Here is a 23,457-nt window from a genome sequence, read left to right as displayed (position 1 = left end):
TAGAGTTTTCCTTCTTGGGGAGCGGGGAATGTGCCTTGGGTCACTCCGCCTGGTGCGAGCAGCAGGCTCCCTTCGGTTCGGATTCGCCTTGGAAGGGTTAAATGAATCATTATTATTATTATCATTATCCTCATCGTCGTCGCTGCCGTCATCATCATCATCATCAAATTGCTATGAAATAAATAGTGAGTCGACCCCGCCTGCATGCACGCACTCTATAAGTACACACCAGGAGTTCCCACGGGTTTCTGCACATTCTCCGACCTTTAAGGTTTTTAAAAGACATTCATTTTACTGCGTTGTTAAAAACTCAATACTTACAGCCCACACAGAATCATCTTCAAAGTCCAGAAATGGGAGAACTTTTTTTTTCCCTAGACGTGGTGATCGTAGAGAATTCTGGGTGTTAAGTTTCAACACTTTAAGTGATATTAGAGCATTATTAGTGGAGCTGTTTGGGGTTAGCATAAAAAAGATCTTTCAGCGCGCGAATGCACACACACACAAACACACACACACACAACTTCATTAACTACAGTTTCGGAGGCGGTCAATAACTCACCAAAACGTAACTTAAACACGATGAATTTAGGAGATTAAACAATTTCATTAATATTGAAATGGCTCTGGCTCTGGGCTGCCTCGGTTGAGATGCAAGCGCACGTTTTTCAATATTAACAGAAGTGCTTGAAGAAAAGAATAATGTCACCTTCTTAATTCGGAAAAAATAACTGGGAGGAGGAGATGGGTGCGAGGGGCTGGGGGAGGGATGTTGACCTGTCTCTGGGGGTATGGCTCGAGAAGGGCAGATAAATGTATTGCCCTTCTCAGCAGATAAACCACTTGGACTCGGGTGGAACCTCTGCCAAGCTTTGGCCGGAGGCAGCCGTACTCATCCCAGCTACTCGCGCTTCAGGTCATAACGAGGTGCGGCGTTTGGGGGGTTACTTTGTGCGGCCAGATTCGGATCGAAGGTCCTGGGGAGGAAGGAGCTGGGGAGTCCAAAGAGCTGGGGAGCTTGGGAGATCCGTGATGAGGAATAGTGGGCAAGGCTTGTGTTTCCCAGAATGGAAAGGCGCTGGTCCACAGCTTTCCTGCTCCCGAGTACAGCTGGCCTCGGTACAAAACAGTTACTGTGGGCAAGGCAGGAGCGCTCCTGCTGTGGAAGGGTACCAGCATAGACTCCCCCAGGAATTTTTAGGATCCTCTTAGTAAATATGTGCATCCGTTCATACTGATACGTAGACCGATAAAATATCGTGGGCGGCTGGAATTGGGATGTAGATAGGAGTGAAAGCTCTGCTCCGTTCCCCCAGTGACAGCCAGGAAGATTCTTTTCTAACCGGCATGGGTGCGTGTTGAGGGTGGGGAATAAGGAGAGAGAAGTGTTTTCTTATTTTAACAATTGGCATTTTGTTGCCCTGCAAAGAGGCCATTGTATGCCTGTCGAAATCATTGCTCAGAGTAAACAGGAGATTAACTAAATTCTAAGAGTAAAAACGTTCGGGTTAAAAAAAAAAGTCTGAAGTTGGAATAAATCTTTGTCTATCTCCCCGGGAAAGTTGTCACCCCCAAGTTTGGAACATGCGAGGATACAAGTAGGAATTTGTGTCTGATGAATCTTTAAAGTTTGGCTAGTGTGGAGATAGGAGTTTGACGCATATTGCACACGACCAGGGTTACTTAAGTAAACCGAACCCAGTAGCACAAGTTTGCCTTGGATGAGGAGAGAAGTTGTGAGAAACACATTTAAAACTTGGGCTTTGCTACAAAGTTTTATCTTGGTTCTGCTGGAGGTCTACAAAGCCCAGGGCGGGGAGGGAGGATTTGCATGTTATTGACAGCATTTTAAGACTGGTATTACGAAAAGGAGGAGGGAAGGAGCACTTTCCAGAAATCTTGAAAAGTGCATCAGAGTCTATTGTGCAGAACCCAAAGCAAACACGGGGTGGGGGTGGGGGGGGAGGCACATCCGACCCGGTGGCTTAGGGAGTTGTTGGGAAAACTGTATAAAATACACATAAGTCAATTATACCCATGTGCAAACCAAATGGAAATCTCTTTCGTGCAATAGCCATTCATCGCCTCCGCAGAGCCCACCACCGACCACCTTTCTGCTTGGAGAGTTCGCAATAGCCTCTTTTCCCACAAGCTGGACCACACACGGCTACAGATTTCGTAATAATTTATGCTAATTTCCCTCCATAAATCCACAATTCGCTTCAGTGGCACCCGGGTTGCTGAGGGAGTAAAAAGGAGACAGAGGGGTGACAAATACAATATTGATTTTGATTCCTTCTGTTGTCAAGCAGGTGTGTGTGTGCGTGAAGGGTGGAGCTGGGGCTTTGGGGGCGGGGGCTCCAGGAGAGGAAATCTGTCCCTAGTCTCTGCCAGCCCCTCCATGCACACTCCAGAAAATAACGCGCCCTGGTTTGTTAATATTTACCAAACATAGACGGGAGGCGGAGGGAAAGTACCCGGCAGCTTCCGAAGGTTTCCTAGGTGCCAAAAACAATACCCGTCGTCCCCACTTGGAAAATGAACTCTGCGCTGCCTGGAGCGTTTCGGCTAAGCCTTCCTTTGCCCGGTCCTCTTCTTTCTCCCTGAGTCTCCCTGAACTCCTCTCCGCTTCCTCAGTCTGAGTCTCTCCCTCCCTCTCCTTCTTTCCCCTCTCCTACAGCACTCCGGTCCTTCACTCCTCTTGACTACACTTTTCTCCTCTCCCTTCTGCTTTTTGCATCTCCTTTACCAAATTGACAGTGAAATGTGCTGAGGGAGAGGGTCGAAGGCTGGTGCGCCGTCGATATCAGGTTTTAGGGCCTTGCGAGTCTCCCCTGCCCCGCCCCACCTCTCCAGGCCGCCTCCCGCATTTGCCCCAGTGCTGCGCTCGCTCTGGGAACCCGCGCTAACGCATCGCGCCTCTTTGTCCCATCAGTCATTCTTCAAATCTGCACTTTGGTGGCGTGAAACGACTTAGCCTCCCTTTCAAAAGGATTTCGTTCCTGGGGTATTCAGCACTAAAACAAACTCCCTCAGCCTGTCAGTGGTCAATTAAAAAAATGGCCATCCCGAGTGTCCTGGGGGCTGTTTGTCCTCGGAGTCTGTGCGCCTCCCCCACCAGCCCCCCAGCACCGCAAGGCCTGGCTTTAACGTGCTGGATTTCGGGACCAGAGGGAACTAGCTCAGAAAGTTCTCCTTTCCCGGGGTCACCGGACAACATCGACTTGCAGGTTTGGGTTTTGGGGGCGGGTGGGGGGCAGAGACGAGCACCCGGCGCATGTCAGGGGAAACGTATCCGCTACGACTCTCCCACGACTGCCTTTGGAGTTTGAGCCCGCTCTTCCAGGCCACTCCGACTGAGTCTGGCGGGAAATCAAACTGCCCAAGGGAGAGAGGCGGGGGAGGGGACACACTTTCCGCTCTGGTGCCAACTGCCGACGGGCAGTGAAAGGACTCCGTACCCACCCACACCCCCTACCCCCGCCAGCGACCCCTGCACTGTGGTGCCACAGGAGCATACTTTTTCCAACTAGTGGGGAAGAATGTCTGCCGGGGAACTTTGGAGCCAGCTATTTCATCCGTTGGTGACTGGGCTACAAGGGGACCTTAACTCATCACAGACAGGAAAAAACAAAACAAAAAACAAAAACAAAACAAAAAACATTTGACAAGTAGTATATTGGCCATAATCAGATCTCCCCTCCGGGCTCAATCTTGTGGGGTTCTAAGACAAGAGTCTCCACTTCCTGTTCACCCTTTACTCCCATCCAAACTGGGGGGCTCAACTTCAAGGGTGTCAGTTTTTTAGTCCCCACCAGCATAACTTGTCCAGCGGTGAATAGGGCCTCTGGCTGTGGCTGGGGCACCTAGAGTTAAATCTGTGTTTTGCTTGGGAGTGAGGTAAAGGGAGGCAACACCCCACACATTTTAATAGTATATCCCAAGCAGCTGCTGCGGTTTGGAGAGCGTGGAAGGCCCAGTTTCCCCTCTACCTCAAGCATAAAATAAAGAGTAGCCAGAGTTAGGTGCTGGTGCAGCTTGATCCCCATCCCCAAGAGGTGCCACCCGCTCTCCTCTTCCCCCTCCCCCATCATGGTGAGCAAGCAATTTCAATGCCTGAGAAAACAACTCTCCCTGCTCAGCACAATGCCTTCTCTTTGGAATTGGTTTGCTAAATACCATTTGATGTTTGCTTGGCTGTGATTTGTTCTGAGACTTCAAGGCTTTAAAATCTTTGTTTCCAAATCAAATCCCTCCTTTGCACAAACAGTTGCATAGCTTTAAATTGGGCATTACCATGCTCACAAATGTATTTGTTTAAAAAGTTATTTGCAAAAGGGTGGTGGAAGGCTTTTTGTGTTGTTGCTAAACCCTCCCCATAAGTTTTGCTCTGTACTGTGTGAAATAGAAGAAGCAATTCAAATCTATTATTATTATTGGAGGAAATATTGCTAAAGCCACCTTGGTATTGAAGGGATTAACTTGCTTTTCTCCCAGCCCCTAACTCTGGGGTTAAGACAGCAGTAGATCAACTGTATAATGTGTGCACTGTTCGCTCATTTGTACAAGCAGAACAAAGGTTGGACTAAGCCAAATTGCATTGCACTTGTGAACCGAGTCCCGATGTGAAGTATCTTTTACAGCGGGGGGAATGAGAACAATTTCGTGTATGTCTAAAAGGGAATAACAAAGCCACTTTCTCGAGCATCTCAAAGTGAAGTAGCGAGGCGTGACATTCCCAGGGTGAGAAGGGACAAAAGCAGGGTCAGGGAGATGAAAAAGAGAATCAAACAGCCACTTTCACATGTCTGCCCTCAACTGCTGCACCTCTCCATAATAGGAAACAAATGTTGTAAAAGGGGGGATTGCTCCCATTCATTCAAAATAGCAAATGATAGCTAAACAACATTGTCAAAACTGAATCAACTTCTGTGCAGTACCACCCAGAAAAAGGTATTGTGTTTTGTTTAATAGCGGGGTGGAGCAAAGGGTTTTTTTTTTTAAAGTGGGGAGGGAGGGAGAGAAAAATCATCCTATACTGTTCATATTAATTTTCTTTGTCAAAAATTATTGGTTTGCTGAGTTTTTTAAAAAATCAGTATTTCTGGCTGGGCACCCACTCTTAAATGTTATTTTTGGGGGAGGAATTTTGGAAAAGCTGCAACAGGAAAGTGATTTTTAGCTTTATAAAGTGTTTTAAAGCTTCCAATAAGTGGGAAAAACGGGTTTAAGCTCCTTCAAATGTAGGATCTGGGAAAAATAAGTTACTGATTGAATAGATTCAGGTAAATCCCGGACAGTAGGCTAAAATGTGCTTTGCTAATAAATTGGAATAAAATCGATGGGGGGGGGCAACTGCAGATATGTGAAATGAAGAATATTTTGCATCTATAATATATATTTTTTTGGTGGATCCCTCTGCTTTAATTTGTTTTGAAACCGGATAACCTATAGATCTTCAGCCTTAAAACCCTGCGCTTCTGCTTTGTTTGTTCAGGCTGACCAGGGAGGAGAGCTTAACCAGGGTGAACGTGTGTAGTATGTGTTTTCTTAATGGCAGAAGCAGGTTTCGCTGAAGACCACAACAGCTTTCAAATGTAATAACTCGCTGTGTTCCTAGGCAGGTTAAAAACTATTTGTAGATCTCTCTCTGTCTCTCCCTCTCCCTCTCTCCCTTTCTCCTTCTCTCCCCCTCTCTCTCTGCTTTTTGTTTTCTTGTCTCCATGCGTCCCCCGCTGAGTTGCCACCCACAAAGCGGGTTTGAAAAAGAAAGAGAGAAAAGAAAGAAAGCGGCTGATCCGTGCTGGCCTCCCCCAGCTAAGAATGGCTAGGGGGCGGGGCTTGGCGGGGCCTGCAGCGCAGCCAGGCGCTCGCCGCCCCTCCGCGGCAGAGTCCTTCCGCTCATTTCGTGCTCACCTGGGACTAGCGCGCCGCTTCGTGGGTCCTAGCGCGCGGTGCCAACCCCAGCGCGGTGCAAACCCCCCCGCGGTGCACTCTGGCCCTCCTCGCGGCCGGCCTCTGCTTTGGGCGCTCTAGCAGCGCGGGGGCTGTTGGCTGACTCTTGGTGGGTTGCAGTTAACTGACACAGCTTGTCAGCAGGGGAAAACCAGGTTGCCCCAAGGACTTACCGACGCCCCAGAAATAGACTCCTGCCCCCTGCGTTCCTTTCCCCCATTTTCTCCCTCCCTCTCCCCACCCCTTCTCATTCCCGCTAACCTTTTCCCCTCTACCCTCCTTCTCTCGCCTTTTTTCTCAGCCTACAGTTTCAATTCCAGCACAGGTATGAACACCAGATTTTAGGTCAGCAAACTGACTCGAGGCATTCCCAGTAGCGCAAACTTTCCGGGATTGGCAGGGCATTTTCTTCTGTGCTCAGCTGGCCTAACCAAAATAAAGGAGCTAAAGAAGGGAGGGAGGAAGAGAAGAGAGAAGCAGAAAACAGCCCCAGCATCCCCCCCTGCAGCGCATCCTGGCACACCTCCGCGGCGTAGCGGTAGGCTACATCAGGTGGTTGGCGAGTGGGGTAAATCATTAACCCGATCTTCAGAGGATCGGCGAGGTTTTTCGAAAACTTTGCCACTTAGAGTTGCGGCTGACGTCGTTCACTGGCCCGACGCAAGAGACCTTAGTTGGCACCCGCCCCCGCATTTAGTTTTACTTAATATTTTTACTGGGAAAGAATCTTGTAAATATATTTATATACAATATTTATGTACTTAAAATAACCATTAAGTCTGCACTGCCACTTTTCTCTTAAAGTGTCACCTCATCTCCATCTTTTGGATAAATCTAGAACCACGAAGGATTTAATAATTCCAAGAAGGCTGATCCAGCAAGTGATTTTCTTTGGAGCGGATAACCATTTGTTCATAGCCATAGCGATTTGATTGGTGGAGCCGGTGGCCTCCCTTAGCCAAGGTAGGCTGTCTTTTCTTCCCTCGCCGGCAGTAAAGGAAACCTTCTCGTCACTTACTTCACCCCTGAAAGCAGTTTGGGTTCACAGTCTTTAAGGAACACTCCGGAATACCAGGAGTTTGGGGAGGATATTGATCTTTCCGTTCCGCCCATCCATCCTCTTTTTACCGATTTTTTTTTAATTGCAAAGAAAAAAAAAAGCTACACACAAACGAGATAAAGTAGATGAACCATAGTGAGACAGTTGCTTCTTTTTCTTCAAGTCTTTTATCGCTTCCCAAAAGGACAGAGGGAACTGTGGGCCTCGTAGGTTTCCCAGATTTTCCATAGTTGTTAGGAACTTAGGTTTTCCTTCGCGTCCGCTTCCCCGCGACCTGTTGATGACTCCGAGTGGCGGAGCACGAAGCTGTGCGTTGAAGTTGGTTATGTAAACTGCTTGTGTATTTCACATTATCATCGCGCTGTCTGGAGGCAATGTAGATTTTCTAAAGATCTAATGAATAAACAACCAGCAACTGCTGGCGGTGTAATTTACATTGTTAATTCCTACATGTGTATAATAAATATGCATTTGTATGCCTTCAAATAAACTCTTTTCAGTTTCTAACCTGTGGTGATTTTTTTCCCCCCAAAAAGAAGGGGGTGGGGGACTTGTGTTTCCAAGGGAGGAGAGTTTATTTCTCTTGCATTATCTGGTAAAAATGGCTGTGATGTGGAGCCCAGATGTAGGGTCCGCAGCCTCGATGCTGTGCTTTCTACCTGCCGAGGTAAGCTGGGCTGGAATGCTCCCCGGCACGGGCACTGGACTCGCCAAGAAAGGGAGAATGCGCCCAGGAATTTAGCTGCGCAGTTTTGAAGACCGCAGCGCTTCCTGAGGGTTGTGGGACCTGGATCCCGTCATTTTCGGGATCCAAGCGTCCTCCCCGGAACTGTCGCCCTCCCCCAAAGAGAAGTGTGAGCGACTTCTCTCGGGTCGCAAGCTGGGTTGGGAGAGTTGGGGCTGCTGCGGCGTCCACAACTCCTGCAAAAACTTTCCCTGGGAATTTCCGGACCTACGATGTTTCCCCAAGTGCCCTCTGTAGACAGCACTTCAGACCAGCCCCGGGACCATGACCCGGACCAGGACCGCAGGGAGGAGAGGGCCCTGGGTCAGGGGCCGGGATCCTAGACTGCCCATCAGCCACTTCCTCCGGTAGGACAACACCGCGCAGGGTAGCAGGAGCTCGGACGCACCTAGGAGCTATGGCCTCCCGAGCCGCCGGGTTTGGACCCAGCGTAGCCGCTGCTTTCTGAAGCTGAACGCCCTCCCTGCGCGTCCCATGCCACTTATTTCAGGCTGGGCGCCGACATTTGGTATCTCTCCCCTCCACCAACCAGGTGCCACTTTCTTAGCGAGCTCGAAGGCAAATGTCTCATCTTTCCCCGTGCTGGATCTGGAATACATTATTTTAATTAAGTCTATGGCGATTTACTTTCCTCTGAGATCTATTCCACGGTGCAATTAGGAACGTATTGGTGCTAGCTCATATGAATATTCAGGAGCGTGTCAATTAATTAGCAGACAGAAGAATCTCATTATGGTGCTCAAAACCCTTTTAGTGTTAAGCAGAATTAAGGGGGTATTTGGCAATGCGCTGGATTAGTGAATATTTTACTGTGCACTCATTTAACTTCATTATCATAGCACTTACACTACTCTCTGATTTTATTAATTAAATTGCTCATTAATTTGTCCAAAACGGATAAAAGTTTTAATGTGCCACCCAGTAACTTGGAAAGTAGACTTTCGCCCTGCTTAGTCTTTGCCCCATGGAGGCTATCGCAGCCCGAGATGGAGGCTCGCTTCACCTCTCCCTCCACCCCTCAGCTCTGGGGAGCTCAGGGACTCGGGCGCCAGGCAGTTGGGGATCAGCGCGACGCCTGGAAGGAAGGGCCACTACCTCTGAGCAGCCTGTTCGCTTTCTGCCTCTTCCGGCTGGCCTGGAAATCCGAGTCGTCCTTCAGGGCGCAAATAAATAAATAAGAAAGTGTCACTGGCTCCCAGGAGTGAGGACCACTGGGCGAGGAGCGATTTGCCTAGGGACCCGGGAAATGCCCCGGGGGTAAGGATCAGGCAGCCCGGGCGCCTCCACCTCCCTGCCCTGAAGGCTCTGTTTCCCAAAGCCGAGCAAAATGCACTACGTGGGGTCAGCAACAGTAACGCCCCCTAAGGGCCTGCTGAGCTCAGTGCCTGCACTCCCTGCCACTTGAAGCCTCTGCGGGAACACTGCCCCACCACCTGGGCCACCCTCAGGCACCACCCAAGCTCGCCCCCGCGTGCTGCTCATAGCCACCTGCACCTCCCTCATCCTACCCCAAAAGGTTAGAAAGACAAATATTAAAATTACTTGCACAAAGGGAACTGCCAAAGAGATCCCAAATTAATATGCATGTAAAATTAATTAGCTGCATTTTGTGACATCAAAATAAGTACCTGGGAAACAGAACACCTTCTGGGCATTGGGAACATATGCTGGAATTAGAGTTAATTGACTAATTACATAAATTAGGCATTAATTTTGCAACACATCAAGTATAAAAGATATCTCAATTAATTGTGCATAAATTACCAGGTGAAACAGGGCGGCGGTCCGGCCAGGATCCCGGTTCTCAGACCTCTTTGCTCTTCAGGGCCCCAAAGCTAGGCGGTGTGGAGGGCGCACGGGTCGCGCAGGCCGGACGGCAAAGAAAGACGCAGATCAGCACCCGCAGCCGCAGCCCGCGCAAGCTGAGGACCACGGGCAATCGTTAATACGAAGAACCCCGCCCCCCTTCATTAAAATCAATTATGTGCAGTTAGATTGATTAGCTTTTGTCAGAAAGAGGAGAGAAGCAGACTCTTCACGGGTCCACCTCCCCCTACCCCGTCAATCTACCTTAGCTGGTAACTATAGAGATGGGGGGTCGTGGGGGAGGGGCCTCGCTGAGCGCGTCTCGCTGTCCTGGCCCTCCGTTCCTGTCGCGAAGGATGGCAAGGTTTCTGGATCAGGCGTTGGTTCTAGGCCGCTTTGGGTCCATGGGAACGCCAGTCTGGGGGTGCTGGGTGCTTGGTTCCTCTTGGTGGTTTACAATCCTCTCGGACTCCCCACCACTGAATCCTCACCCAGAAGTCCAACTTGGAGGGAGTGGTGCCAACTTATTTGAATCTCTTCGGTTTTGAAGTGGGTGTAAATTAATCCCGAGGAGATAGAAAGTCTGAGTAAAGAATCCATACATTCTCCCTGAGGACTGGTTTGTCAGAGCCCCCACTCACTCAGCCCTCCTTCCCACATGATATACATGATTTCTCTCCTTTCTTAGGGCTGGAAGAACAGAAATGGGATATAGTATCGATGTTCAGTTTAATTTTCTATGGCTCCCTTCTCCAAGGGGAGCTCCAGGGAACACACCTTAGTAATTCCCCCTCAACAAACCACCAAACGTAACATTTGTTTTGTCCTTAAAACATTTCTATTGTCAAAATATTAATGACCTTGGCACTGACTTTCCCCTACGTTCTATACATATTTTAAATGGGAGAAAAATTCCCAAAGGAAAGGGGGTATTTGAACATTGGATAAAGTCGTGCCAATTTCAAACCTTAGTGAAATAACAGCAAAACTTACTATGAATTCCTCACACAAATTACCACCAATTGTAACAGTTTGGCTCTGTTGATCTCGTGGAATGTAACTAATGAGGACGTTTGCTGTCCATAGTTGAAGACATCTGAAGCTGTCTTCATGTGCTTGGTTGTTTGTAAAAATATCCGAAGTCACAGTCCCATCCCTCGCTGTCCCCACTACCTCCTCAGCCCCGTCTTCCAAGAGTCCTTAGGTGAAATTATTTTCTCCTTCTCCTTCTCCTTCTTCTTTTTTTTTTTTTTTCCCAAGGCAAACAGAGAGAAAGAAGGGATATCCTGAGAAACACTTTATCATCTGATGCTGTATATTCTCATCAAGGAGGCTTGGTGACATTTGTTACAATATAATCCTGACTGCTGATGAAATCCTGAGTTTACTGAGACATTCATTTTGATGTGGAGGTTTCCTGCTGTAGCCAGATGCTGAAGGTACTTGAGGGAGCTGTTGACAAGTGGATAATTGTCAGCAGAACTAAAACAGACACTTTGTTTACAGTCGAGCATGATTAATTGAGAGTAAATAAAACAACAGCACTCTTTATGAAGTCACCATCCAAGTTCAAAAAAGGCTGTAGTCTCTAGGAATAAAAGAAGTGGACTTACTGTACAAAGGCTTGTTTTGCCAAACCCTTGAAGCAGCAGCTGGCAGCGGTGTGGATGAGAAGTAGATATGCTTTATTGCTTTCCAGCTGGTCTCCTTTTTTTCTTTTTAATTTTTGCCAAATCTATAGAGCTGGATTAAAAACATTTTTGTCCTAATTAGCTGAGTTTTAAATTTCTTTTTTATTACTCTTCCCCTTTCCCTTCCTTCCCCTCTTTAAAAAGTAAATCATTTAATGTGAAATAATTTTCAAAATGAGCCAGATGTGATAAACCTAAACTGATGATGTCAAACAAGGTTATCACATGCCATTGTGATACATCAGTTTGCAGGAGAGCGTTTCTATTCCCTGGAGTTCTAATGAATTGCAGAGGCCAGACTCCAGTAAACATCTTATGATTGTCCAACATAATACATTTTAAGGAAACAGGACATATATCTTTCAAGGCAGAGTGTGGCTTGTGTACAAGAAGTGCTTGGTTTTGTTTTGTTTTTAGGCCTCTATCCTGCCAGACTAGAGGATGAATAGGCCAGTATCTTTCTAACAAACTTTGTTAGTCATGTTTGTGCAAATCAGTGCTGCAAACATATTGATCAATTGCTTTGGATGGATATCGTGGATGGATTGATTAATAGCAGCCTATAAATGGAAATTCTGTATATTTTAATATAATGCCCCATAGAGCTAAAAGCAATGAGCCTAAGGTAGCTAGAAATACTTTTAGATCACTAACAACTGAATTAAATTCAGTACTGTTTTACTATTGTATAGATGGATACAGAAACGTAAGCCCGGTGAATAAGATGCAAACCCGAACTTGTTTCAGCTGCTGGGAAGAGCTTTCTTTTGGGACTACTTGCAGTTAAGAACGGTCTCTAGGAGCTTCTAAGACAAAAACAAAGCAGAGTCTGTGATAAAAGCAAAGTAGTCTGTGAAGGAGACGGAGAGAGAAAGAGAGAAGGGGTGGGGGAGAGAGAGCGAGACAGCGAGAGCTTTCTTTATGTGAGACCTGGCTTTTATGTGAACCAATACATTTTCTTTTGCCTTAAGCCTGTTTGAGCTAAGCTCTGAAGTGATTATGACTAATACACTTTTCTTACTGTCATGAGATCCACAGCAACTTTCATGCTGAATCTTTTGCCTACATTAGTTCTCCTCCTTATCCATGGGGGATATGGTCCAAGATCCTCAGTGGATGCCTGAAACTGTAGGTAGTACCAAACCCTATATACATGATGTTTTTTTCCTGTACATACATACATATGATAAAGTTTAATTTATAAATTAGGCACAGTAACAGATTAGCAACAATAATAAAATAGAGCAAGTATGATAATATACAGTAATAAAGTTATGTGAATGTGGTCTCGCTCAAAATATCTTATGATGTTGTACTCACCTATTTGCAGACCTCAGTTGACCACTAGTAACTGAAAGCTCGGAGAGTGAAACTGTGCGTAAAGGGCAATACTATGTTCCTTCCATCTCTCCTCACCAGCATGAGCAACTCGAATTGATCCCTTACCGTTGAAGGGCCAGCTGGGTAGCTCTTGGGCTTTCTGTCCAAGGAATTGAGTCGTCTTCTGGTGGGCACTATATATTGCTTTGGTGATTGTTCACTTGTGAAGATACTTATCAGGGCTTCTAGAGTCTGCGAGTCTTCCGATGAAGTAGCTAAGACAATGTCTCCATCAGCAGATCCTTAAACATTTTAAGACATCTTAGAACTCAAGCAGCCTTCCTGCATGCCCTCCCTCCCTCCCATACTTCCTCTCTCTCCCTTCCTTTCTTCCTTCATTTTCTTTCTCTTTCCTTTTCTGTATACATTTCTGAGGACTAATTCCATTTGAGGTCACACAATAGCAAAGCAGGGCTTTGATAAATTCATTTCAAGAGTTTAAATTTCAGTTGTTGAAAAAATATAAGTAAGAATAGCCACCAATGTCTCAGACTGGAGTTTTTCGCATTGTAAGCTTGTCATGATTTCACAGTCTTTTAAAAATACATGCTCTCATTTGATCCTCACAGTAACTCATAGGGGAATAGAATCTGTGAATAAAAATGGCTAACAGCCATTGAGAGCTTTGTATTAGGCCAGTAGTTCTGAAAGCGTAGTTCTGGGACCTTGGCATTCTTTGATATGAGATAGAGATATAACAGATATGAGAATCCAGTTGTCTTCTATTAAGCCAGACATTAAAGAGACTTGCAAAAATGTAAAACAATGATACTATTCTCATTAAGTTTTTGTTTTGTTTTGGAAAATATAGGCTTTTAAAAATTAAAATATGTTATTTACATTAACATGTTATGAGTTTATATTTTTAAGTGAATTAATATTTTAAAATGTATTTATTTTAACATCTAATACATTATATATCTATAGATGCAACTCCAATAAAGAAAAGCCTTAGGAATAGGCTCTGCTATCATCTTTCTTTTACAGGTAAGGAAACAAAGGCTAAGAGAGAGCTTAGGAAACTCCAAGGTTTCATGATAATAGGCGGTGGAGACAGGATGGGAGCTCAAAGCTCTCTGCCTGCAGGATTTGAGATTTGACTTCTTCTTCTTCTTCTTTTTTTTTTTTTCTTTTTTGAGATGGAGTTTCACTCTTGTTGCCCAGGCTGGAGTGCAATGGTGCGATCTCGGCTCACTGCTCGCTGCAACCTCCGCCTCCCGGGTTCAAACGATTCTCCTGCCTCAGCCTCCCAAGTAGCTGGGATTATAGGCATGAGCCACCATGCCCGGCTAATTTTTTGTATTTTAGTGCAGACAGGGTTTCAACATGTTGGTCAAGTTGGTCTTGAACTCCTGACCTCAGGTGATCCACCCACCTTGACCTCCCACAGTGCTGGGATTACAGGCATGAGCCACTGTACCCAGCCCTTCCCTAGGTTCTTTATCCCTGGTCAGAACAGAACTGATAATTTTCTTTTAACACTCCCATGATCCTTTGTCCATACCTCTATTTTACCACTTATGCATCACCTCATAATTGCTCTTAGGTCTGTCACCAAAGCAGTAGAATGTGATAGTTCAATTCTCAGCATCTACAGCAGTGCTGTCCAACAGATGTATAACATTAGACACATAGATAATTTTGAAAGTTCTCATAGCCACATTTTAAAAAGTAAATATATTATTGAATTAAGGTAAGTGTAATTCAATAATATATTTCATTTTAACTCAAAATATCTAAAATATTATTTCAATATGTAATCAATATTAAAATTATTAATGCAATATTTTACTTTTTTTAGTAATTCTTTGAACTCTGGCGTACATTTTTATACTTATGTCTCAGTTCATTCTAACTACATTGCAAGTACTCAGTAGCCATGTGTGGCTAGTGGCAACTATATATATTGGGCAGAGCAGGTATAGAGTCAGTCTGCCTGGGTTCAAATCCCAGCTTTACCATTTACCAGCCAGGAAGCTAACCTGGCTTCTCTGTCTCTCAGTTTTTCTCTTCCTGAAATGGAATTAATAGTGCAATTCATATCATAGCATTATTGAAAGAATTAAATAAGTTAATATATACAAAGTGCTTAGAATAGCATTATAAAACTTTCACACCATAAATGTTAAACATGATAGTTTTATTTTTAGATTGTAAGATTTCTAAAAATCAAACTGTATTTTATTCTTATTCTACTTGGCTATCTGGCTGGGCTGGCTGGCTGGCTGGATAGATGAATAAAAGCTGGCTTCTATGACTCACTTTATATGGCATCAAAACTTCAAATGATATTCTGGATATTTTAGGCAACGGAAAGAGGACACTGTTCATCAATGGTGGGAAGAAGATTTGCAGATGTATTTTTAAATAATCTGCTTTGTTGAGATATAACTAACATAAAATTCACTCAGCCTAAGTGCAGGGAACCCTGGCGAATATGAGTAATCAATATATAGTATAGAACATTGCTAGCACCCAAAAGCTTTTTTTGTGCTTTCTTTGTAGTCAATCCTCTTTCCCCACCCTTAACCTGTGGCCACTATTGATCTGCTGTCTTCTACTACAGTTTCACCTTTTTAGAGTTACATATAAGTGAAACCAGAAAGTATGGAGTCTTTTTTGTCTGGCTTTCTTTACTTAATGTAGTGCTTTGAGGTTCATCCATGTTGTTCTGTGTATCCTTAGTTCATTCTTTTTTATTACTGAGTAATATTTCATTGTATGGTGATATGGTTTGGCTCTGTGTTCCCACCCAAATCTCATGTTGAATTGTACTTCCCAGTGTTGGAGATGGGGCCTAATGGGAGGTGATTGGGTCATGGGGATGGATTCTAATGGTTTAGCGCCATTCCCCAAATTCTGCCTCATGATAGAGTTCTCAAGAGATCTGGTTGTTTAGAAAGTGCATAGTACCTCTCCCCTTGTCTTGCTCCCTCTTGCCAACCAGGAGAAGATGTTCCTGCTTCCCCTTCCCCTTCTGCTATGATTGTAAGTTTCCCAAGGTCTCCCCAGCCATGCCTCCTGTACAGCCTGTAAAACTGTGAGTCAATTAAACCTGTTTTCTTTGTAAACTGCCCAGTTTCACGTAGTTGTTTATAGCAATGTGAGAATGGACTAATACATATGGATATACCACAACTTGTTATCCATTTTCCTGTTGATGAATGTTTGACTTGTTTCTAGTTTTTGACCATTATTCTCTCTCTCTCTCTCTCTCTGTTTTTGTTTTGTTTGTCTGTTTGTTTTGTTTTTGAGACAGAGTCTGGCTCTGTTGCCCAGGCTGGAATGCAGTGGTGTGATCTTGGCTCACTGTAACCTCTGCCTCCCAGACTCAAGTGATCTTCCCACCTTAGCCTCCTGAGTAGCTGGGACTAAAGGTGCATGCCACCATATCCAGCTAATTTCTTGTACTTTTTGTAGAGACAGGGTTTTGCCATGTTGCCCAGGCTCGTTTCAAACTCCTGAGCTCAAGCAATTCACCAACCTCTGGCCTCTCAAAGTGCTTGGATTACAGGCATGAGCTGGGCCCATTATTCTCTTAACGGTGTTTTCACAGAGCAGAAATTTTAAATTTTAATAAAGGTCCAACTTAATCAATTTTTTCTTTATGGATCATACTTTTGGTGTTGTATCTAAAAAAGTCATCACCAAATCCAAGGTCATCGAGATTTTCTCCTATCTTTTAAATGTTTTATAGTTTTGCATTTTATATTTAGGTATGTGATCCATTTCGAATTTTGTGTGTGTGTGTGTGTGTGTGTGTGTGTGTGTGTGTGTGTGTGTGAAAAGTACAAGATCCATGTCTAGATTTGTTTCTTTGCATGTGGATGCCCCGTTTTTCCAGCACCACTTGAAAAGACTCTGCTTACCCATTGGCAGTGTTTATTTCTGGAGTTTCTCTTATGTGTTTCACGTGTCTAGAGTTACAACACTGCCATGTTGTTTTGATTACTATAGCTTTATAGTAAGTCTTGATATCGGGGTGATTAGTCCTCAAACACTGGGTTTTTTTTCAAAATTGTTTTGGTTATCTAGGTACTTTGCCTTTCCACATAAATTTTAGAACTAGCTTGTCACTTTCTACAAATATCTTCTGGAGTTTTGAATGAGATTATGTTGAAATATCACTTTTGGGGAGATTTAACATCTTAACAATATTGAGTCTTCAAAACATGGTCTTGTCTTTTCTATTCTTTTCTTTCTTTCTTTCTTTCTTTCTTTCTTTCTTTCTTTCTTTCTTTCTTTCTTTTCTTTCTTTCTTAATTTCTGTCTCTCTCTGTCTCTCTCTTTCCCTCCCTCCCTTCCTTCCTTCCTTCCTTCCTTCCTTCTCAGGGTCTCACTCTGTCACCCAGGCTGTGGAGTACAGTGTCATGATCACAGCTCATTGCAGCCTCCACCTCCAGGACTCAATCAATCCTCCTGCCTCAGATTCCTAAGTACCTGGGACTATGGACTTGAACCACCATACCTGCTAATTTTTCTTCTTCTTTTTTCTTTCTTTCTTTCTTTTTTTTTGAGAGATTGGGTCTCACTATGTTGCATAGGCTGGTCTTGAACTCCTGGGATCAAGTGATCCTCCTGCCATGGCCTCCCAAAATGGTGGCATTACAGCTGTGAGCTATTGCACCTGGCCCCTTGCTCCAATTTTTACATCTTTAATTTTATTGATCATTTTTGATAATTATTTGATAATTTGATATTTGCTATTTTCTAGTGAATATTTGATTATTTGTAGTAAACAGATTTTGCATATTTTACTAAATTTATCCTTAAGAAATTAATGTTATTTATTCTGTTATAAATGGTATTACTTTTTAAAATTTCCATTTATTTGCTGCTAGTACATAGGAAGACAATAGATCTATATTGACTTTGTATCCTGCAAACTTGCTAAACTCCCACCTTAGTTCTAGTAGCTTTTATATAGATTTCCTAGATTTTTGACACATACTATCATGTCATCTATGCGTAAATGCAGCTTTACTTCTTCTTTTTCAGTCAATATGCCCATAGCATTATCTAGGATCCCCAGTAAAATGCCAAATAGAAATAATTAAACTGGACACCCCCACTTAGTTCTTGATTTTTTGAGGAAAACATTTAGTATGTTATCATTAGGTATTATGCTTACTGTCGATTTTTTTTAATAGATGCTCTTCATCCACTCGAGAAAGTTCCCTTATGCTTCTAGTTTTCTGAGAGTTTTTTAAAATGATGAATGAATATTAAATTTTATCAAATACTTTGTTATCTATGAGATGATATAGTATGATTTTTCTGCCTGTTAATTGGATTAATTTTATTGGTTGATATTTGAATATTAAATCAGCCTGCTTAGTCACTATGTATTACTCTTTTTATATTGCTGGATTCCATTTGTTGAAAAAACATGGTTTGTAGTTTTTTTATCTTTTTCTGGTTTTGGAGTCCAAGTGATGTTGGCCTCACAAGATGATTTGGAATATGTCTCCTTCTTTTCTATTTTATGAAATAATTTGTATAGAATTAGTGTTATTTCTTCCTTAAATGTTTGGAAGAATTTACCCGTGAAGCCCTCTAGCCCTGGAATGTTCTTTGTGGAAAGGGTGTTATCTAAAACAATTATTTTGTTATTGATATCACTCTATTCAGGTTTTCTGTGTTTTCCTGAGGGGGCTTTGGTAGTTTGTATCTTTAAAGGAATTTATCATTTCATTTAAGTTGATGAATTTATTGCTAAAAATTGGTTATAATATTCCTTTTTTATTTTTAGTCTCTTCTCACCTTTTCTTGATCAATCTGGTTAGAAGTATATCAATTTTATTGCTCTTTTCAAAGGATTAGCTTTTGGTTTCACCAATCTCTATTATTATTCTGTTTTCTGTTTCACTGATTTCTGCTCTGATCTCGTCATTTCCTTCCTCCACCTTCCTTTTGGTTTGATTTCCATTCCTTTCTACTGCTTTTTTGCTGAAGAAAGAAGCTTAGATTATTGAATTGAGAGCTGCCCACCATACTGGCATTTAATGGTATCATTTTGCTTTTAAACTGCTTTAGCTTCATCCACAACTTTTGATATGTTATATTTTTATTTTCATTCAGTTCAAAATATTTTTTAACTTTCTTTGTGATTTCTTCTTTGACCCATTTGTTATTTAGAAGTGTGTTAATTTTCAATTAGTTGGAATTCCAGATTTTTTATTTGTAATTGATCTCTAGTTTAAATTCATTTTTGTTACAGACCATGTTTTGTAAGATTAATCCTATTACATTTACTAAGAGGTTTTTTTCTGTTTTGTTTTTTGTTTTTTTGGTTTTTTTTTTTTTGTTTTTAAATACAGAATAGAGGTTTAGTTCACAGTTCTTTTTTATTCTGTTTTTAGATGAAGCCTTGTTCTGCCGCCCAGGCTGGAGTGCAGTGGTGTGATCTCAGCTCATTGCAACCTCTGCTTCCTGGGCTCAAGCAATTCTCCTGTCTCAGCCTCTGGAGTAGCTGGGATCCCAGGCTCTCGCCACCATGCCCGGCCAATTTTTGTATTTTCGGTAGAGACGGAGTTTTACCCTGTTGGCCAGGCTGGTCTTGACCTCCTGACTTGAAGTGATCTGCCCACCTTGGCCTCCCAAAGGGCTGGGACTATAGGGGTGAACCACTGTGTCTGGCCTATACTAAGAGTTTTTAATAGCATAGTATATGATTTATTTTGACAAATATTCCAAATACACTTGAAAAAAATATTTACTTTGTTATTGGGTAGAGTGTGCCATTAGTGTCAATTAGGTCAAGTTGGCTGAGAATGTGGTTCAAGTCTTCTGTATTCTTACTGTAATTTCCTGTTTACTCATTCTGTCATTCACAGAGAGAGGAATGCTGAAGTCTCCAACTAAAATTGTAGATTTTTCTATTTCTTCTTTTAGTACTGTCAGTCTTTGCTTCATGTATTTTGGATTTCTGTTTTACTTGCATATACATTTAGGATTATTATTTTTTCTTTAGACTTGATCCCCTTTACTTATGAAATATCCATCTTTATCCCATGTTTATACCTTGTTTTGAAGTCTGCATTATCTGATGTTAAGATAGACATTTCAGCTTTATTCTAATTAAGGTTTCCATCCTTTCACTTTTCAAGCTATTTGTATTTTTATATTTAAAGTGGGTTTCTTGTAGACAGCATACCTTTGGGTCTTGCATTTTAATCTAATTTCATAATCACTGCTCTTTAATTAGAGTGCCTAGGCCATTTATTAATATATTTATATTTATACAATTGGATAGAACACTATCTTGTTTTTTGTTTTCTATTTGTCCCACCTGTTCATTATTCTCTCTCACATTTTATTGTCTTCTTTTTGGATACTTTTTATGACTCCATTTTTATCTCTATGAGCTTATTAGCTATTCTTTTTTTTCTTTCTTTCCTTTTATTTTTTTCTTTTGTGGTTACTTTTTTTTCTTTTGTGGTTACTCTAGAATTTACAATAAATAATTTTAACTTATCACAGTCTACTTTCAAATAACATTACAGTACTTCGTGTGTAAAAATCTTCATAACATACTCCTGTTTCCCCTCCTGTCTTTTGTACTATTGTTACAGTGTGTTTTACTTCTGCATATGATCTAAACTCTAATACAGTGCTATTGTTTATGCTAAAATAGCCAACTGTATTTAAGGAAATTTAAAAATGACAACAAATGTCCTATATTTACCCCAATACATGCCATTTTTATTACTCTTTATTGCTTGATGTAGATCCAAATCTTTATCTGTTATTATTTTCTTTCTTCTGGAGAACTTTAACACTTATAGTTCAGATCTGCTGGTGATAAAATCTCTCAACTTTTATTTGTCTGAGAAAATATTATCTTTACTTAAATTTTGAATGATGTTTTCACGTGGTGTTGAATTTTAGATAATTAGGTTTTTTCTTCCAGCACTCTAAAGTTTTTGTTGCATTGCCTCCTGGTTTGCATGGCCTCTTATAAGAAGTCTGATGATTTTTACTTTTTGTTCCTTTGTACATAATGCACATTTTTTCTCTGGCTGGTTTTAAGATTTTCTCTTTATTGCTGACTTCAGTTAATGTGATTATCACATGCTACATTAAGCTTTTGTGTGTGTGTGATTATTCTAGCAGAGGTTCATTGAGCTCTTTAAATCTGGGAGTTATATTTTTCAATAAATTTGGAAAAATTTTGGCCATTATTCTACAATTTTTTTGTCCCTCGCTTTTTCCTTCTGGAACTCTATATGTGTGTTAGGTTGCTTTACATTGCCCCACAGATCACTGATTATTAGTCGTTTTTTTCTCTTTCTGCCTCATTTTGGCTGTTTCTATTCCTATGTCTTCTCATTTTGATAGTGTCTTCCACAGTGTCTAATCAGCTATTAATCCCATCTGGTATATTTTCACTTCTGGTATTATGTTTTTTATGTCTAGAAGTTTCATTTGGGTCTTTTTGGCCCATGTATACTAGTTAATCATCTCTGTCATTTCTGCATCTGTTCCTATTGATTGATTTTTCTTCTATATGAGTTACATTTTTGCTTTTTTACATGCCAGGTAATTTTTGATGGAATGCTGGTCATTGCGAATTTTAAGTTATTGATGCTAAAAGGTACTTGAAAAAGTGCTGGACTTTATTTTTTGGCGTGAAATTTAGTTGTTTGAATCAGCTTGATCCTTTTGAGTCTTGATGTTAAGATTTTTTTGCGGCTGGTTCATAGCAACTTTTACTCTAAAGCTATTTTAGTCCCAATCCTAAGGTGTGGTACTTCAGAGAACTCTACCTACTGCCCTGTGTCTTACAAGGTCTCTCCACTCTGGCGAGAAAGTAAACTATTCCTAACTCTATGTAAGCTCCAGTAATTGTTCTGGTTACTGGTTTTCAGTGGTTCTTTTTGTGACCTCCTGGATAGATCTGTACTCAGGTCTAAGATTCCAGGAGGTGGCTCTGCAGATCTCTAGTACTCTAGCCTGCAAATTCTAAACGCCTAATCCTTCCCAAACTCTAGCATCTATCTCCTGAGCTCAGTGGCAGTGCCGAATTTTGCTTGGATTCTCTCACTTTGCTCTGTGCACTAGAAACTATCTCTAGGCGGGAAGCAGGGGTAATTATCGGGTATGCCTCATTTGATCAGGGACTATAGTTCTCCTCTGTCTGAAGCAGTTTTAAAGTATATTTTTGGATGGTTTTCTAATTGTTTATGAAGGAAAGGCAATTCCCACAGTAGTTAAATTTTCATGGGCAAAAACAGAAGTCTGTCTATGAATATAATTTACTGTAAAGATAGATTTTTTTCTGAGTAAAATATCTCCTTTTCTAGATATTTAATTAAAAGTTTTTTATTTTTCCATTTTAAAGTGTCACAAAGCCTCTTCTAATTTAAAACAAACTGAAAGTCTTCAATTCCCAACATTTTTGACCTAACAGGAAGAAGAGCAGTGCTTTATTTTTCTTATATGATGCCACTTTTTGCCATACAAGTCAGGTTTTAAAAGTCAGTTGTTATACACATAAAATATTGTAAGGAAATATGTAATATCGGGATACTTGAGATTATATTTTCTAGAAAATGCACTACTTTTCTGTTCATTTAAGCCCTTACTAAAATCATTTTTTTCTTCCTAGTTACCAGTTGGGCTTTAATAATTGTACAAGTAACAATTTTTATGGCATTTTGTATATTTGGTCACTTAAAATTTAAAAATGATAAAATATCAGTTGCTTTATATAAAGTGTTGACAAGTTATTTATCAGGATCAAAACTCAGTGCATAACTAGAATAAGAAATATCTATTTATGGCTGATATTATTTAATAACACGTGCACTTCTCACTTCAGTAGAGAACATTTGGTACCTCTTCGCAAGGAAATTCTATTCTCTTATAGCTCTTCCTAAACAGGTTATAAATATTTGTGATATTCCTTTTTGAATTAGTCTAATTCTTTGTAATACATTGAGTTTCTGTGTTTTGCAGAGCCTTTGAAGACTAACTTAAACGATAGGGATTTGAGGAATTATAAATTAACTGTGTTGTAATATTTCCTTCTACTTATGTGTTAAGTACTTTGCGAAAATAAGTACTTTCTAGGCTGGGCATGGTGGCTCACGCCTGTAATCCCAGCAGTTTGGGAGGCCAAGGTGGGCAGATCATGAGGTCAGGAGATCAAGGCTATCCTGGCTAACACGGTGAAACCCCGTTGCTACTAAAAGTACAAAAAATTAGCTGGGCATGGTTGTGCGTGTCTGTAATCCCAGCAACTCGGGAGGCTGAGGCAGGAGAATCGCTGGAACCCGGGAGGCAGAGGTTGCAGTGAGCCGAGATCATGCCACTGCACTCCAGCCTGGGTGGCAGAGCGAGACCCTGTCAAAAAAAAAAAAATTACTTTCTACATAAGCAGAATATCTATAGAAACAACAAAAAAACTTTTATTCTCATTTTCCAGAGATAAAATCTTTTTCATACATATATATATATATATTTTTTTTTTTTTTTTTTTTTTTTTTTTTTTTGAGACAGATTCTTGCTCTGTCACCTAGGCTGGAGTGCAGTGGCATGACCTCAGCTCATTGCAATCTCCACCTCCCGGGTTCACGCCATTCTCCTGTCTGAGCCTCCCAAGTAGCTGGAACTACAGGCACTCGCCACCACGCCCAGCTAATTTTTTTGTATTTTTGGTAGAGACGAGGTTTCACCGTGTTAGCCAGGATGGTCTCGATCTCCTGACCTTGTGATCCGCCCATCTTGGCCCCCCAAAGTGCTGGGATTACAGGCGTGAGCCACCGCGCCTGGCCAGTATTTTATTATCCCTGAATAGAAACAAGCTTGCCTAAAAT

The 23,457-nt window shown here is 41.9% G+C and overlaps 1 annotated feature.

The window, feature by feature from the left end:
• Nucleotides 7,122-7,909: an enhancer, noted in NCBI's record as "NANOG-H3K27ac-H3K4me1 hESC enhancer chr15:60287460-60288247 (GRCh37/hg19 assembly coordinates)". NCBI's record gives its function as "activates a minimal SCP1, AML or CMV promoter by ChIP-STARR-seq in primed H9 embryonic stem cells {active_cell/tissue: H9 hESC(primed)}" and the evidence as "EXISTENCE:reporter gene assay evidence [ECO:0000049][PMID:30033119]".

Source organism: Homo sapiens, chromosome 15 (genome assembly GCF_000001405.40).
Source record: "Homo sapiens chromosome 15, GRCh38.p14 Primary Assembly".
Taxonomy (NCBI): Eukaryota; Metazoa; Chordata; class Mammalia; order Primates; family Hominidae; genus Homo; species Homo sapiens.
Note: the sequence above shows the minus strand (reverse complement) of the source record. Positions and strands in the feature narration are given on the sequence as shown.